Consider the following 19,050-nt stretch of genomic DNA (forward strand, 5'->3'; position numbering starts at 1 on the left):
TTATCTGTGCCATAAACTCTACTTTTCCTGCTAAGCTGCTTTGTCACTGGAAGAATTTCAACTGACTAGGCAACTTGATTTGTCTTTCAATGATTTCATATCTGAGCTCTTCATGCAATGGAGACAATGCAGTTTAGAACATGGTTGTGACGTTATAGAATGATCAAACTGACCCAAATGGAGGGAACCTGGTGTAATCATAATCAGTGTATATTAGTCAGGAATAGTTGTTGGTAATGCTTCTTTTTCTGACTTGTAGACAGCAGTCATCTTGCTGTGTCCTTATGTGGCCTGTTCTCTGTGTGGGTATGGAAAGAGAGAGAGATCTTTAAAGTCGGTTCTTTTCTTCTAAGGGGACCAATCTTACAGGATTTGGGCCCCACCCATATTACTTCATTTAACCTTAATTACCTCCCTCAAGGGCCTATCTCCAGATATAGATTAGGGCTTCAACACTGAATTTTGAGGAACAGAATTCAGTCCAAAACACAGTACAAATACCTACAGAGCACTTTCTATAGATTGGTGCAAAAGTAATTGTGGTTTTTGCCATTGAAAATAATGGTAAAAAGAACATTACTTTTGCATCAGCCTAATATGTGCCGAACACTCATTTAGGGACAACCTACTTTACAAAGGAGGAAACTGAAATCCCAAGAGGTTAAATGTCTCACTCAAAGGCACAGTAGTAAGGGACAGAGTTGAGATTCAAACCTAAGCAGCCTGGCTTCAGGGTCCATATCCTTACCTATTAGCTATTCTGCCTCTAAAATTGTGGAGACATATTTAGAGCTTTTCCTTGCTAAATTTACTTAGGGTATCATCTTCGATGAGATTTCTTTTGGCTTTTTGGAATACAGTATAAAAACTAGTTTCCAGCGTTTTTTTTTCTTTGTAATTCATTCTTTACCTATTGTAACAGTTAAGAGAGCAGACTCTAGAGACTGAGTTCCTGGGTTCAGAAGTGTATTTTTCTGGAAAAAAGAGAGAATAGAATCAACGACCTAGTTGGGATGTTGTGATACTAAAATGAAAGAACACATAGAAAGGGCTTAGATGTGGGCTGTCTGCACACTTGATAAGCGAGTGATTGTTAAAGCAGGAGTAGTAAATAAAGTGTGATCTACCTACCTGCATTAGGGAAGGCTTACCTTTTGCTTTGTTGTAAATCCTACATGCCTACTCTAACTAGTGGCAACACAGGCCTTCTTCACAGAGTTCTTATGCTCTGGCAAACCTGTCAGTTAGATCTTTACTAAATGGATTTTTTTTTCAACTTTTTTGTCCTTAAATGACTTTGAAGATGCGAGGGCTATATTTTTGTTCGTTTTTGGCTTGTAGATTATTGGATTCCTGTTAAACCAGATGATCCTTTTAAGTTGCATGCTTAAAGGACAAACTATACCCTTCTGGTATACAAATAGTATACAGAATAGTACTTGCCCAATGTGGGGACATGGCATGTAAGCATTCATGTGGTGTGTTAAATGCCACGGATGGAGGAACTAATTTTACTTTGGGGTATTGGAAACCAACAGTAAGAAGAGAAATCATTTGTGTTACGTACTGAAGGTTGATGTTGGGTACCAAGTTTAATGTTGTTGGAACCAAACTACCAAGGCTAACATTGCTTCTGGGGGCAATTGTTTCTGTTTAAGGCCACTTATTTACAAATGTGACTTTGGTACCTAGCCCATTTATAAGTTGATACGATTATTTTTATAACTACTTATTTGTTACCCACCTTTCCTTGACAAAGATGAGATTGCTGGTCAAGTTAACAATGAGATTTTTCATCAATGATTTAACATTTGATTTATACTGTTCTATCAGCATTCTTTCTCAAGGTCTACTTTGACAAAAGCCGTGTATTTTTACGTCTTGTGTTAAGAGTTCAGTCTATGACCATGAAAGAAATTAAAGCTATGGAGCTTCCATGAAAATCAAACTCCTAACTTTGGTCTAACAATTAAAAAATTAACTACAGTAACCATAAAACTCTAATAATCAATAGTAGTATAGAGAATAAATTATGAAACAGATAAACTGAAAGAATATATACCCAAACTCTAAAAGTGTGATTGTTTTACTCACTGAACATATGAAAAGAAATTATTTTTCTAAATGCTTAATCAGTTTTTAACTAATGAATTTTCATTAGTCTTTGATGGTTCCTTCTTGTAATGCTCCTTTCATCATTGAAACTTCTCTAACCTACCTGTTTCCCTAGGAATTATATAAATGCATCTGTTCCCCGTGTAATCTGGCACCTCTCTATCTCTCTAACATACTTTTCCCCCAGCCCCTCCTTTAAACTGTAGATTTCCATCAGCTGAATTATGTGCCAGCCCCTGCTCTTACCTCTGCTCTTGGCTGTCTCACCTTCGCCATTCCAAACATGACAGCTCTTCCCCTTTCTGGACTCAGCTTAGAAGTCAAGTCTCCGTGTCCATCCTTCCTTAATATGACACTTTAAGGTTGGATAGATACTCCTGCCATAACCTACCAAACCCATAAAAATACTTGCTGTTCTCAGAACCCTTATGAGAGTTATGTGTATTGGTCTCTAGTCCCCTTATCTAGGCCACTGGACTGCTTTTCATCCATTATTTTATCCCAGTCACTTGGGCCCAGTGCCCGACATGCAGGAAGCACTCAAGAAATAGAAATGTGTTGAATAACTTAGTAAGTTTTATTTATTTTTACCTTTTTCCCCCATATTGTTTTAATTATTGAACTGATAGCCAGGGTCTTCACTGGGTACCATTCAAATATCAAAATGGGTTGGGTGTGGTGGCTCACGCCTATAATCTCAGCACTTTGGGAGGCCAAGGCAGGAGAATCATGAGGTCAGGAGTTTGAGGCCAGCCTGGCCAACATGGTGAAACCCCCATCTCTACTAAAAATACAAAAAAATAGCTGGGCGTAGGGGTGGGTGCCTGTAATCCCAGCCACTCAGGAGGCTGTGGCAGGAGAATCACTTGAACCCGGGAGGTGGAGGTTGCAGTGAGCCAAGATTGCACCAGTGCACACCAGCCCAGGTGACAGAGTGAGACTCCATCTCAAAAAAAAAAAAAAAAAAAAGTAGATGTTTGAAACCAACGAATCGCTATTCTCTTTATTTTGGGCATCACATAAATCATATGAGGACGAGGTTATGCAGGTGACAATAGAAACTGGTAGATGGTATAGGATAACAGGCACAGTTTGATTCTATGGGATTTTACATTCAGGAAATTCATGGTGTCTTTTATGTAGACTTAATTTCCTACTCCTGGAGTTTCTTTATTTTGAATTCTGTTGGAATCTGTAAAATGAGTTCCTGTCAAACAAAGGATGGCTTTCTTGTGCAAGGTGCCTTGAGCATGTCTTCTGTTTGCTTGCTTTTGGTCCTATGAATTACTGCAGCCCGGAGCTCCAGTGACTTGCATACACTTCAGAGTCCACACAGTGGCCTGAATTGACTGCCATCTCATCGGATGGCAATAAGCTTAACAATCTGAAAAATTCCTGCACTGCAGGATTACCAGGGGAGGTCACTGGAACTTCATCTGGCTAATAAGTTTTTTGTCCTGTTTCCCCTTGTCAGTGTTCCTCTGAGCTCCTTAGGTTGGATTTCCTTTTTTAACTTAAATAAAAATCATTAACACTGATTTTCTTTAGTGAGCGAATAACAAAACACCGTATCTAAAACAAGAGTCATTTCAGAGATGGTGTATGACATTACCACCAATGCAATGAGAAACCGTATTCATCATGATACAGATGCCCTGGGGATCAAATACTGTGAAAATCACAAGCATTTCGCTCTCATTCTCAATGTAATAAAGATGAAAAATATCAATAAAACTAAAAAGCATTTGCCAGTCGTACACTCTGGAATAATCGTGACTTAAAGACCTGCTTAGTTCTCTGGACGTATGGGATGTCAATGTTTTGTTTCTTTAGAGTCTAGATCAACAACACGTACTTTTTTTGTTGTTAACATAGCTTTTTATATGGCTTTATTAAAGTTGAAAGCAGAAATCATTTTTATTGCAGCCTAGGAGTTACTCAGCACATCTTTTTGAATCCCCTTCATGTGCTATTTAGGAAGACTACACAACTCAGAGTGCTGCCATTCCTCAGCCTTGGAGTAAGAGATCACTTCACCTGGGGCATGTTTGACTTGCTGCCCCAGGGCTACCTTGGCACTCATCCGTGAAAGTACCTGATATTCTGTTTCATGGTTTATCCTACCCCTCACCTGTTAGAGACCCCTCAACTTCTGTCAGCCTTTTGTGTGTTAGGGAGAAAATCTGCTTGCTACATATCATCAGGTGTGAAGGTAGGAATGTGAGGAGGAGGTGTATCTCCAGCCCAGTTGAGAAATTATGTTGTGAAATATATAGTCTCAGCACCATTGCCACTGGAGGTGGCAATTCTGGAAGGCAGTCTATAACTCAGAGTTTTATCTAGTCATACTTGATCTCACCTCTTAGAAAACAGGATTTCTGGAGAGTCGACATGATACTAGCAAAGGTAGGCCTTGTTTCCCATGACCATGTAAGTGAAAGAGTTCTATTTTCACATTTTAGTGTAGCCAATTCATGTTCAGGTATCAGAAATTTAGACCATCAGTATATTTCTAATAGGTGGAATGTAACTCTCCTCTACCACTGTTCAAGGATAAAATATACTGTAAATTTATCAGCTGTCTTTAAAGGAAAATGACTTTAAGCTGGACTCTTAACACCAACTTTTTGGGCAGGGTTGAATATATGGACAGTAGTATTCTATTTTCTCGCTCCTGTAGACCTTGGGTGGGTTGTCCCATTTTCCAGTTTTCTGTCATGGCAGAGTGTGGCTATTGAACTGGATTTGTCCATTGATCCTACCAGACGGAGCTCCTGGGGGCCTCCTGATCATCATCTCTGCACTTCCGTACAGTATCTGGTCTGTATTAGATGTTTAATCCATGTTTTGTGAATAAACTTCCTTTCATAATAACTCCTGAATGATGTGTGTGTCCAGTTGGCTAGAAATTATGTTTTGTAATGGTTATGCTCATGAGAATCCCATGTGTCTAGCTGAATATCCACTTGTATTTTACTGGATGTACTGGGACAGTAGAATACATATAGTTTAATGGACTCTGTTGGAAAGGCAAACACCCTTAACAGGGAAAGTGGCTGAGATACGCTGATACTTTTCAAAGAAGATAGCCACTGCCTTCCAGCCTGACATTCTGTTTCAACAGAATCTATGGAACATATTCTTCCTCAACAGCCCTACACTGTTATCTCATAGGGATTGTCTAGTTCCTTTGCAAAAGACAGAGGCATAGACCTCACATTGTACAAAAATGACAAGCTGCCTGTTACTCTGTGGATAATTTTGTCATTCACGTAGCAGAGTTCTTAATCAGACCTAAATTATTTTGAAGATATTATAAGCCACCCAGGTGCAGATGATCTTTTCTTATGTTTTATCAAATATTTTAGTTCAAATAACTTTAACAGTCTTTGGATGTCCCATCATTTCTGATGGTAAGATTTCTTTAAGATAGAAAAATGTGTGAACTCACAGCAAGGAATCCAGAATCGTAGCTCCAGATCTTCTACTAATTATTACATGGTCCAGCACAAATCACTTAAAGGTACTGGGCACTGGATTTGTCACCTTAAAATATTGAGGTGAGATGATTGCAAATTAGGAAGGAAAAGACAAGATATGTAAATTATGATGCAAGTTAGAATAATAGCAAAATAATTATGGATATATTTTTCAAATATGAAGATCATAGTATATTTGACAGCATTTTGCATAGTATTTTTATACAACATTATGTATATTATATTGTATAATGTGATGTAGAGCATTTCCTCTACTGCTGTATCTCATGAATTAAAATATAGATTTTTAGAACTTTAGACGAATTTGTCATACATTCACTTACATTTTTATCACTTGTTCCTGTTAGGCAGTTGTCATGTTCTATTATTAAATGGAATATAATTTTATTACTATTGCTATTATTATTTTATAGTCAGGGCCTCTCTCTGTCATCCAGGCTGGAGTGAAGTGGTGCAATCATAGCTCACTGCAGCCTCTAAGTCCTGGGCTCAAGCAGTCTTCTTGCCTCAGCCTCCAGAGTAGCTGGGACCATAGGTGTGCACCACCATGACTGGCTAATTTTTATGTTTTTAATTTTTCATAGAGATGGGGTCTCATTTGGTCTCGAAATCCTGGTTTCAGGTGATTCTCTCTCCTTAGCCTCCCAAAGCTCTGGGTTAACAGGCATGAGCCACCACACCGAGTCTGGAATATGTTTTTTGAGTAGGTGAAATGATTTTTATTTTGTGACAAAGTATTAATGTTTGAAATCAGCTTTTAAGATACTGTAACAATTATGTCAACCACAATGTAGCAAAAATTGGAAGATGTTTTATATTTATTTAAAATCCATCAGAAGTAGTAAAATCCTTAAAACTCACATACATAAAACAACTGTATAATTTAGGAAAGTGATGTCATGAAGGTTTGATTTTAATTCTGCAATGAAGCAAGAACTACTGGGAAAGCCATCAGCCTGAATTCTGCAATTTTTTTAAGATGAAAATTAAATGTTTAAACTTTAGATAAAATACCTTTCTAAATCTAGTCTATTTGTTCTCGGAAATTTTTAGTCTGTTACATTATTCTTGTCAATATTAGTTTTAGTGCTCCATATCATTACACATGTTATTTCATTAACCTTGTCTACATACCAAGAACCTGTGACCTCCTCAAGTCCTTTACATAAATTCTCTAACTTGGTGAAGGTGAATTTTTAGTTTTCTTCTTTTTTTTTTTTTTTTAAGACAGAGTCTTGCTCTGTCACCCAGGCTGGAGTGCAGTGGCGCGATCTCGGCTCACTGCAAGCTCCACCTCCCGGGTTCACGCCATTCTCCTGCCTCAGCCTCCTGAGTAGCTGGGACTACAGGTGCCTGCCACCGCACCTGGCTAATTTTTTGTATTTTTAGTAGAGACAGGGTTTCACCGTGTTAGCCAGGATGGTCTCGATCTCCTGATCTCGTGATCCACCTGCCTTGGCCTCCCAGAGTGCTGGGATTACAGGCATAAGCCACCATGCCCAGCCTCTGATGTTTTTATAAAATAGTTCATGGAACAATTTAGACCTCTTGAGTTGCATTTTTCTACCAGCTCTTTATCTCTGGTTGTTTGTTTTGCAGTTAAAAACAAGATAGTCAGGGTCCTGTTTGAAAACTTGCTTTCTAGTCTTGAGTACCTGGAATTCTGCCTAACTGTTTCATGAAGAGGGGTTTTTTATAGTCTCTTCAATTGAAGTTAGTTAACTCACAGCTCTGTTTTTGATAAACCAGCAAAATCTTTGAATCATTAAATAACTTCAAGCGTTGGGAATTATTTCATTTGCAGTTGAAGTTCAGGGAAGAGATTAAGACGTGGTGTGTTATAAGAAGTGTTCTGGGTGCTGATGTTTACATTCTGGTACCAGTGACTGACTGAATGAATTTTATAATGTGGAGTTGACACCACCTGTTCCCAAAAGCACCATCTAAGAGTCTGCCAATTTAGTAGACCCGTATGGATGAGGCATCCTCTGAAATAGCCAATTACTATAACAGAGAATGAGTTTTTCCTAAAATCCTGGCCTCTAGGTTGTTGTTTTTATTTTTTACTTCGTATTTCGTCTTTGTCAGCATCCTGTAGAGTCTAGAAAATGAAAACACTGTCCGCTTATTATTTGAGTTTATAGTATAAAAGAAAATGGGCTGGGTGTGGTGGCTCACGCCTGTAATACCAGCCCTTTGGGAGGCTGAGGCAGGCAGATCACCTGAAGTCAGGACTTCGAGACCAGCCGGGCCAACATGGTGAAACCCTGTCTCTACTAATAATACAAAAATTAGCTGGACACAGTGGTGCATGCCTGTAATTCCAGCTACTCGGGAGGCTGAGGCAGGAGAATCACTTGAACCCGGGAAGCAGAGGTTGCTGTGAGCCAAGATGACGCCACCGCCCTCCAGCCAAGGTAGCAGATCTAGACTCTGTCTCAAAAAAATAAAAAAAGGATAAAAAAAAAATGCCTCTTCATGTTAGAATCAGAGCAAGCCCAAAGGCTTTCCTTTAGTCATTTGGTGGTTGTGACATTGTGGACACTGGGGTACTGCAACAATCAAACTTTTAAGTTGACCCTTGACCACAGTGAAAATCATAGCAATTACTTTTGATCTACATTTAGGTCTCATTCTCCATAGAATTGTTTCATAATATCACTTTATGTAGTATTGTTTCCTATTGATATCTTCTTAGCCATATTATATCATTCCCCTCATAGTTATAAAATGAGTTGCTATTCATGATAATAATCCTGGTGCAGTAGTAAGGAAACATTGGTGGTTTACAGAATGAATTTCTAACATAGTTCTCATTGTTTTACTCTACTTCCCAAAATAAAAGTTTCAAAGAATCAGAAGATTTTAGGTATTGGATGAATCTCAGAAACCATTTTGGAGAATGAGGCTTACTTTGCTGTTGAAGAAAGGACTCTTTTTCAGTGGCTTACCTGAACTTAGTGAGTTCTTGACAGTAATAACTATTGATTCCAGTTTTCTGATTACTTTTAATTAAATTGTTCTTTTTGAATTGCCTCACCCTTTTAAAATAAGGATTGTGCCCATAATCAGATTTTGCAAGGGCCAGAGCCATTATTTCATTAACCTTGTCTACATACCTATTATTACATCCCGATTATTGTAGTAGTAGAAACTGGAATTGCCTAGTTATGATCTCAACTTGATTTTCACTATTTCTATTTGCCTATGTATTTATTAATCCACATCGCTTATGCACTTTAGAACAGAGAGTGAGGAGCTTTGTATGTGGATGTGTTTAAAAGTTCCTAATGTTGATAATCGTTGGTGGTACCTTATACTGTCTAAAATTTATTTTTATCACATTTACTAAAATGCATACAGGGATATGGCTTCAGAAAGAATGCTAGACTCTTTTACATTTAACAAAAAGTTCTCTGGAGCTCATGCCCTTGGGAAACTTGATAATGAAAGTCAGAAGAGTGTTACAAATCTAATTTAGAAAGATTTTACCAATTTGGTAAATAGAAAAATTCTGAATAGTGAATCTGGTAGCAAATATACATTTATTAGACTTTTGATTGGTTATGGATATGTGCTGAACTTTATGGGTAAAAGCACAAATATCAGAACATATTGTATTTCACCTATCATATTTTTTCTTAAAGTGCTTAAAATATTATCCCTTTGAACCTGCTTCACTGTTTTTGCTTGTTAAAGAATATAGCAATAATGGCTTTAAACTTGAAATCTTAAAATAAATCACTGGGACCAGAACTTTTGTATTTCTTCTCAAGTTTTATATTGACCAAAGAACAATAATATGTATGCTTTATTTTCATAGTGCTGTATAATAAAGAAAACCAGACAAATTCCTGAGTTTCCCTTTCAAGTAAGACCATTTTTTTTTAATAGCTAGAGAAACTGAAGAAGAAAACATTTGGAATTTAGGACTTCCCAGCATTCTATCTCCACCACTGTCCATTCTTCAGATTTCAACACTACCACCAACACCCCCACACCAAATACATGTACTTCAAATATTGTACCTAAAATAAAAACTCAGTCCTATGATGAAGTCCTGGGCTTTCTTAAGTAGTCAATTAGAAAGGTCAGTGGTTTCTAATGCAGAGAGTTTATGACCTGGTGTGTTTCAGCTAATTTCGATTCTTTCAGATGTCTTCTGCGCAAATTGCTTGATTACCTCCTACATCTCTCTTAATCTGGGTTACTGAACATAATAATAAGGCTTTACCTATTTTTTTTTTTTTATAGACCCGTTCATCACCTGAATCTTTTAGCACTTCACCAACAGCTGGTAACAAGCAGAATCACTGACATTCTTTTAGATTTCTTTAGGCTGCTTTTTAATCCTCCCTGATTGTCATGAGCAGGAATAAGGAAGGGAGAAGGAAGACCAATTTTTTGTTTAATCCAAGGTGATCAAAAGAAGTCCCCAGTAATAGTACAGACTGACTTTGACAGTGATTTGTATTTGCAAAATATATGAGGCTTGCTGTATTCCACTTTTTCTCTTTTTTTTCCTCTTTGACAAAAACAAAGTTTTCGTTTCATCCAGAATATTTCATTTATATTTTAGAGGACTATTTCCCAGTCCCTTTATCATGGGAATGGCTTGTCTATTCTCTGCTACTTCATTTGACTTTTAAAGAGTCTCAGCCTTTCTTGAAAATTAACAGATTATTTAATTAGTTATACATGTTTTGTTTTGTTTTGTTTTTCAGTCGTAATATAAATATATATGCTTGTAGGATTGTAAATCTGGAAGGTAGCCCTTTAAGTGAGGGTATTCCCAGTCGAATCTGTTATCTTTTTAATATTCTCACTTATCATTGACCTTTTTTATTTTTATTTTTTTGGTGAGAAAGCGTCTCACACTGTCACCCAGGCTGGAGTGCAATGGCGTGACCTCGGATCACTGCAACTTCTGCCTCCCAGGTTCAAGTGATTCTCCTGCCTCAGCCTCTGGAGTAGCTGGGATTACAGGTGCCCACCACCAAGCCTGGCCAATTTTTTGTATTTTTAGTTGAGATGGGGTTTCACTGTGTTGGCCAGGCTGGTCTTGAACTCCTGACTTCATGATCCACCCACTTCGGCCTCCCAAAGTGCTGGGATTACAGGTGTGAGCCACCACGCCCGGCCATCATTGACCTTTTTCAGTATAAATGCCCTCTTATTTCCTTTTTATCATTACACATGTCAAAATAAATTTCTGAGACTGCAGTTTTTACTATCACTGAATAGTCTCATAGAGAGGCATGTTTGCAAGTAGTATTACAAATCATAACTTTTTTTCTGGCACTTTATTATAGGGCCTTGGAGATTACCTTGGATTTGTGTAATCTCAATATGGATGTGTTCAAAGCTAAAGGAATTTATTTGATGCGAGGGGAGATTGAAATAGGCTTTACTACAGTTACAGGTAGTTAGTAGACTTGGATAAAAGAAATGAGGGTACTTTGGGGTTTCATAAATGTTGGTAATGTTCAAAGCAACATTGCTTTACTTTTCTGAAGGTCAGAACATTCCTATACAAAATTTAAGTCAGTTTTGATAGAGATTTAGAGAGACTTAAATCTCTATAAATTTCATGTAATGAAAATACGTTGTTACCTCAAGGAAAAATGAATTATATTATTACAAGATTGTTTTTAAGTTTGATATTTATAATACATTAATGAAAGTAACGTGAACCCTTGATGTCATGATGCACTAGCGTATGGTGCTCCATTGTTTTGACTGTGTCTGCATGAGTGGGCTGGTAGTGGTTTATCAAATGGCTTTCAGGGCCAGGATGAGGTGGAGTGGAACTGGCTTGTAGTATTTGCTGATTACCGTGGTGGAAACACTTTGACGTGGACAATTCCAGCCTACCAATGTGGTGCACCCCAGGGCACTATTATATGGTCTTCCCAGTGTATAATTGTAGATATAAATGACCTTGAGCACAGATAACAGTAACATGTAGTCAAATAATCAGGTAGTGATGAGTTCTGAGTCTTTATTACATTTGTTTTTTAACAATTTAATTGTAATATAAAATGTTTAATAATGAATATGGTTTAATGACTGGCTCACAAAATACATGAAAGTTTAAGTTTCCTCTCCTGAGTTGGTACAAGCCAGCTTCAGCACACCGCTGAAAATATATTGCGACACTGAGTTCTATTATACATGTGGTTTCTTTCCTTGATTATGGCCCTTGCCTTTGAAAATGCTGCTGTTTCCTCTCTCTAGATAATTTATTATTCTTATCATCATTAATATAAATTCTAATAAGCTGTTTATGTTTGAGAATATTCTTGTTTCTGCATAAAGTTAGTTAAAGATTGGTGTCATTGTCCCTCAGAACCTTAGAACTCAGTATAGATAGAGAAAGTAGATAGAAATATTCAAAATGTAAACATTAAACAATGATCGGGTTAAATGCTTATATTTTGTCTTGCTGGTTAGGAATTGAAAAGTTTAAGCTAGAGCTTAAGCTTAGGTTAGGAAAATAGGTTCTCTTCCATTCTGATTAGTCCAGTAATACTTCTGGTGGATTAAAGTAAGATTTTGTTAAGCCCTGTCCCCTTTCTCCCTCAATTTTTGGGCAAACAGATTGATAGTGATTGAGTCATTTTGATAGTGATTGGAGACATTCCTTCACCACTGCAAACAGGAAGGGTCTGTGAGTCATTTTGTTATATATGGAGTTGCTTCCAAAAGCAAGAGACACTACCATGGTTTGCCAAGGGTGGACTTCTGAGATGACTGGTCACGTTTGAGGATTTGGGGCTTATTTGGAACAATCAAAGGAAGCAGGAGTTGCCTTTATACTGAGGAGAAATGTTCAACAGAAGGGTCAAGGCTGACAGTAAGATATCAGTCTGGCCACTTGTCACCATAGTTTATGAATTTATTTCTGTTACAGAGTACTTGGTATCAGCTGGAACTTTCTCCAAAGATGGACATTCTAAAGAAATTTCCAAACTTTCATCAGGTTAGATCATTGGAGAACTTATTAACTGAGCCTGCCAAGCAACACATTTCTGAACTCCATTTTAATATTTAAGCTCGTATTGAGACAATTATAGGCACCAGTTGAATAAAGAAAGAAAACATTTCCTACTTTACATTTGATATTTTCTTCTATTATAATCAATGTGAAAATCATTTTTAGTTTACTAACAGGAAGTAATTTCTTTCCCTTAAAATTCCCTTATTTTAAAAGAAAGATTGTGTATAACATATGAATCCTGTCATTTTTGTCTTGTTGGTCAGGAATCGAAAATAAAATTTAACAGGTTTTAACAAGTGTGATTGAGATTTGTTTCCTAATCACTCTACATGTTTTTTCTCTTTTGCATATATGTCATTATTTATAAGCAACTTCAAATAGAACAGAAGGTAGGGCATAAATTATCAACAACTTTAGTCCAAAAAGATGTTAATGAAAAAAGTAACAATATTTGTGATATAATATATGCCGTGCTGGTGAGTATTGTTGGTTGTCTTATAATCCCAATTGCTGTGTGTAGTTACTGTTCCCTCTCCTTTCCTCTACCAGGGTGGTCTTGCAATATGATCAAATGGTTATGTTCAGAAGTACAGTTAGCCTGGTATTTCACAGGGAGCAATATGACACTGCATAAGCAGGGAAAATATCATAGATGGGAAGATATATTATCTGGCAAAAGAGTGATAGTCCTTCTTGGGAAAAGAACATTGATCTCACTTGGAAAATGCCACAGTCAGAAAGCTCGCAGTCCTCCAATACATGGACCAGAGAAAGAAATTTCTTCATCCCCTGGGCCAAGAGGCAAAGAAGTTGTTTCAAAGCCTAACAAGCTCAGTGGCCACTTTGTCCTTCTGAACATCTCAACGTAGACCATGAATGTGAAACTAGGGTGCCCAGCACAAAGTGAGCTGTTGTGATTCTTCATTCTCATTGCCAAAATTCAGACATGCAGAATGAGCATCACCAGAGAAGGAGCACCCTAACAAAATTAAGATTCATTGCATTACATGTCACACAAGTTCTTGTGAAGCCTAGAGGTTCATTAGCTTTTCTACTGTCCAGTTTCTGGATGACTTTTTGTGGTCAGCATACTTACGTCGTTGGTTTTCAGTTTCTGCTCTTGTGTATTCGAATCCAGGTACTATGTTTTGAGTAACCATATGCCTCTGGCTATGCTAAATTTAGACCTATTTGCATTTTTCTTTGACTGTACATTAAACTATTCATTAGATTAAGAAGTTTATTCATGCCTGTAATCTTAGCACTTTGGGAGGTGGAAGTGGGTGGATCATTTCAGGTCTGGAGTTCGAGACCAGCCTGGCCAATATGGTGAAACCTCGCCTCTACTAAAAATACAAAAATTAGCTGGGCATGGTGGTGGGTGCCTGTAGTCCCAGCTACTCGGGAGGCTGAGGCAGGAGAATCGCTTGAACCGAGGAGGTGGAGGTTATAGTGAGCAGAGATCATGCCACTGCACTCCAGCCTGAGAGACAGAGCGAGACTCTGTCTCAAAAAAAAAAAAAAAAAAAAAGTTTATGCTATAGAATTGTAAGCTTTCATAGAAAAATAAATGGATTAGTATATCATTAATAATTAACAACTTAGAATTATAACATATGAAATAACTTTTTCAATTAAAATTTGGTTATGGGACTCGAGGTATAACATTTTATTGTATTTTATGTTTAAATGGATTACAAAAGTACATGCTCACACTTTACTGATGAACAAGTTTATTACCTCAAAGAAAATGTAATCAGTTCAAAAACATTTTGTATCATGAGGAGCTAAACATGTCTTATTTTCTTTGGTTGTATTGTTATTGTATTATGCTGTTCTCATAAAGGAAAATTATTAAAGTGCATATTGCACCAGGAAACTAGACCTGTACATAACACTGACTTACTAGAAAATTGCATTAAAAATTGTTTGGGCAATGATATTAAAAATTATTATAAACAGATACCACTATTTTACTGTTCTTCAAAGCTTCCTTCATTTGTAAAATACATATATTTTATATAAACATATTGAACATCATACATTTCTGAATTTAAATTAAAATTTTTTAAATGACGTTTATTGCCAAATTAGTGCTTCTACAACAGAAGACTTTTTTTGGAAGAATGTCATTGAACCAATGAGATAGGAGAAATTCTCTCTATAATTTGAAACCCCATTACTTTAGTTGACTTAAAACGCAATTTGAAATCACATTACTTTAGGTGAGTTAAAATGCTAAGGATGCCATTTTTAAATTTATATAATTATCTTGGGATATATAGTCACATGAAAGGATACTGATACTGACTATATTGGGAGCAAGATTGTGGAATAGAATCCTTCAGCAATTGTCCTCCCTGTAGGAACAACAGATAGAACAACTATCCACTCAAGAAAGTACCTTCATAAGAATCAAAAATCAGGCGAGCAATCCCACTATTTGGTTTTAATATCACAGAAAAGGAAGAGGCACTGGAGAGGGTAGGAAGGACAGTCTTGAATTGCCCACACCACTACTCCCTCATCCCCCAGCAGCCGCTGCTTGGCACCAGGAGAGAATCTGTATGCTTGAGGGAGAGAGAACGCGGTTCCTTTGGGACTTGGCGTTGGAACTCAGTGCTGCCTGTCACAGCAGAAAGCAACAAGGGGCAGAATTCAGGTGGCACTCATGGAGGGAGCATTTAGACCAGCCCTGGCTGGTGGAGAATGGTCCATCCCCTGAGCTTCTGCCAGCCCCCCCACAGCAGGCTAAAGCACTCCGGGGTTCTAAATAAACTTGAAAGGCAGTCTAGGCCACAAGGACTGCAATTCCTGGGGAAGTCCCAGTGATGTGCTGGGTTCAGAGTCAGTGGAATTGGAGGCGCAGGCCACCTACGGAGGCACCAGAGGAACAGCGAAGGGAGCGCTTGCCATCACTCCTGCCCTTAGCCCCAGGCAGCACAACTCACAGCTCTAGGGGAGAATCCATCCTGCTTGAGGAGGTTGGGGGAGAGTAAAGAGGACTTTCTATTACAACTTGGATACCAGCTCAGCCACAGTATGATAGGGCACTGGGCAGTCTTGAGGCCTCCATTCCCGGCCCTAGTTCCCAGGTGACATTTCTAAACACACCTTGGGCCAGAAGGGAACCCGATGCCTTGAAGGGAAGGATCCAGTCCTGGCAAGATGCATCATTAAGGAGCCGTTGGTCCTTGAATAAATGTCAGCTGTAGCCAGTTAGTACTTGCCATGGGCCTTGGTTGAGACTCAGAGGCATGCTAGCTTCAGGTGTAGCCCAGCGCATTCCCGCCTTTCTTGGCCACAGGGAAAGACTCCTTATGCTTGAGGAAAGGAGAAGGAAGAGTAAAGGGGACTTTTCCTTTACTCACCAGCTCAGCCACAGCGAAGTGGAGCAGCAAATGGGGACCCTGAGTCCAGGCTTTGGCTCCTGGACATTATTTTTGGACCTGCTATGGGCCAGACGGGAGCCCACTACCCTGAAGGGAGAGACCCAGACCTGGAAGCATTCACCACAAGCTGCCTGAAAAGCCCATGGGCCTCGAGGGAACATCTGCAGTAGCCAGGCAGTACTTGCCCTGGGCCTGGGTCGCTGGTGGCTGCAGGGAAACTCCCTCTGCATGAAGAAAGGACAGGGAAGAGTGGGGAGGACTTTGTCATGTGGCTTGAATGCCAGCACAGCTGCAGTAGAATAGAGCACCAGGTAGATTCCTAAGGTTTCTGACTCCAGGTGCTGGCTTCTGGACAGCATTCCTGGAGGTACCCTGGATCAAGGAAGACCTCATTACCCTGACGGGGACACAAGCCTCTCTGGGTTTCCCATCTGCTCACTGAAGAGCCCTTGGGCCGTGAGTGAACATTCACAGCCAGACAGTGGTCACTGTGGGTCTTTGGAGAGACCCAGTGCTATGCTGGCTTCAGGTGTGACACAATGCAGACTCAGTGGTGGTGGCCACAGGTGTGCTCATGTTATCCCTCTCCAGCTCCAGGCAGCTCAGCACAGAGAAAGACTGACTCTTTTTGGGGGCAAAGTGAGGGAAGAGAACAAGAGTCTCTGCCTGGTAATCCAGGGACTTCTCCCAGATCTTATCCAAGACCACCAAGATGGTACCTGTACAAGTCTGCAAAAGCCATAGTATTATTGGACTGAGGGTTCCCCAAATGCAGATATGGCTGCAGTGACTAAAGATTTATATCACAGCATCAGTTCCCTTGGAATACTTGGTAAGCCTTCCTAAGAAGGGTGGGTACAAACAAGCCAAGACTGTGAAGGCTACAATAAATACCTAACTCTACAATGCCCTGACACTGATGAACATCCACAAGCATCAAGGCCATCTACAAAAACGTGATCTCACCAAACAAATAAAGTACCAGTGACTAATCCTGGAGTGACAGAGATGTGTAATTTTTCAGACACAGAATTCAAAATAGCTGTTCCGAGGAAGATCAGTGAAATTGAGGATAGCACAGAGAAGGAATTCAGAATCCTATCAGATAAATTTCACTAAGAGATTGAAATAATTATAAAAACTGAAGCAGAAATTCTAGAGGTGGAAAATGCAGTTGGCATACTGAAGCATGCATTGGAGTCTCTCAAAAGCAAAACTGATTAAGCAGAAGATAGAATTAGTAGGCTTAAAGACAGGATATTTAAAAATACAAAGTTGGAAGAGACAAAGAAAAAAATCAAAGCACACCTATAAGATCTAGAAAGTCGCCTCAAAAGGGCAAATTTAAGTTAGTGGCCTCAAAAAGTCAGTAGAGAGAGAGAGAGACAGAGATCTAGGTAAAAAGTTTATTCAAATGGATAATAACAGAACTTTCCTAAACTAGAAAAATATATCAGGGTTTAAGTACAAGAGTGTTATATAACACCAAGCAGATTTAGTCCAAAAACGACCTCAAGGCATTTAATAATCAAACTCCCAAAGGTCAAGAATAGAGCCCTTTGTCAGACAGATAGATTGCAAAAGTTTTCTCCCATTCTGTAGGTTGCCTGTTCACTCTGATGATAGTTTCTTTTGCTGTGCAGAAGCTCTTTAGTTTAATTAGATCCCATTTGTCAATTTTGGCTTTTGTTGCCATTGCTTTTGGTGTTTTAGTCATGAAGTCTTTGCCCATGCCTATGTCCTGAATGGTATTACCTAGGATTTCTTCTAGGATTTTTATGGTTTTAGGTCTTACATTTAAGTCTTTAATCCATCTTGAGTTAATTTTTGTATAAGGTATAAGGAAGGGGTCCAGTTTCAGTTTTCCTCGTATGGCTAGCCAGTTTTCCCAACAGTATTTATTAAATAGGGAATCCTTTCCCCATTTCTTGTTTTTATCAGGTTTGTCAAAGATCAGATGGTTGTAGATGTGTGGGGTCACTTCTGAGGCCTCTGTTCTGTTTCATTGGTCTACATATCTGTTTTGGTACCAGTACCATGCTGTTTGTTTTTGTTACTGTAGCCTTGTATTATAGTTTAAGTCAGGTAGAGTGATACCTCCAGCTTTGCTCTTTTTGCTTAGGATTGTCTTGGCTATATGGGCTCTTTTTTGGTTCCATATGAAATTTAAATTAGTTTTTCCTATTCTGTGAAGAAAGTCAGTCGTAGCTTGATGGGGACAGCATTGAATCTATAAATTACTTTGGGCAGTATGGCCATTTTCACAGTATTGGTTCTTCCTATTCATGAGCATGGAATGTTTTTCCATTTACTTGTGTCCTCTCTTATTTCCTTGAGCAGTGATTTGTAGTTTTCCTTGAAGAGGTCCTTCACATCCCTTGTAAGTTGTATACCTAGGTATTTTATTCTCTTTTTAGCAATTGTGAATGGGAGTTCACTCATGATTTGGCTTTCTATTATTGGTGTATAGGAATGCTTGATTCTTGCACATTGATTTTTGTATCCTGATACTTTGCTGAAGGTGCTTATCAACTTGAGGAGATTTGGGGCTGAGACAATGGGGTTTTCTAAATATACAATCATGTCATCTGGAAACAGAGACAATTTGACTTCCTCTCTTCCTATTTGAATACCCTTTATTTCTTTCTCTTGCCTGAATGCTGCGGCCAGAACTTCCAATACTATGTTGAATAGGAGTGGTGAGAGAGGGCATCCTTGTCTTGTGCTGGTTTTCAAAGGGAATGCTTCCAGCCTTTTCCCATTTAGTATGATATTGGCTGTGGGTTTGTCATAAATAGCTCTTATTATTTTGAGATACATTCCATCAGTACATAGTTAATTGAAAGTTTTTAGCATGAAGCAGTGTTGAATTTTATCAAAGGCCTTTTTTGCATCTATTGAGATAATCATGTGGTTTTGTCATTGGTTTTGTTTATGTGATGGATTATGTTTATTGATTTGCATATGTTGAACAAGCGTTGCATCCCAGGGATGAAGCCAACTTGATTGTAGTGGATAAGATTTTTGATGTACTGCTGGATTC

General features: G+C 38.5%; 1 protein-coding gene across 12 annotated transcripts in view; it reads left to right on the forward strand.

Annotated features, from left to right (window-relative positions):
* Positions 1-19,050, forward strand: part of PARD3B (par-3 family cell polarity regulator beta) — a 1,074,688-nt gene that overhangs the window by 237,575 nt on the left and 818,063 nt on the right. The gene's annotated exons all lie outside the window — the stretch shown is intronic.

Source organism: Homo sapiens, chromosome 2, assembly GCF_000001405.40.
Source record: "Homo sapiens chromosome 2, GRCh38.p14 Primary Assembly".
NCBI lineage: Eukaryota > Metazoa > Chordata > Mammalia > Primates > Hominidae > Homo > Homo sapiens.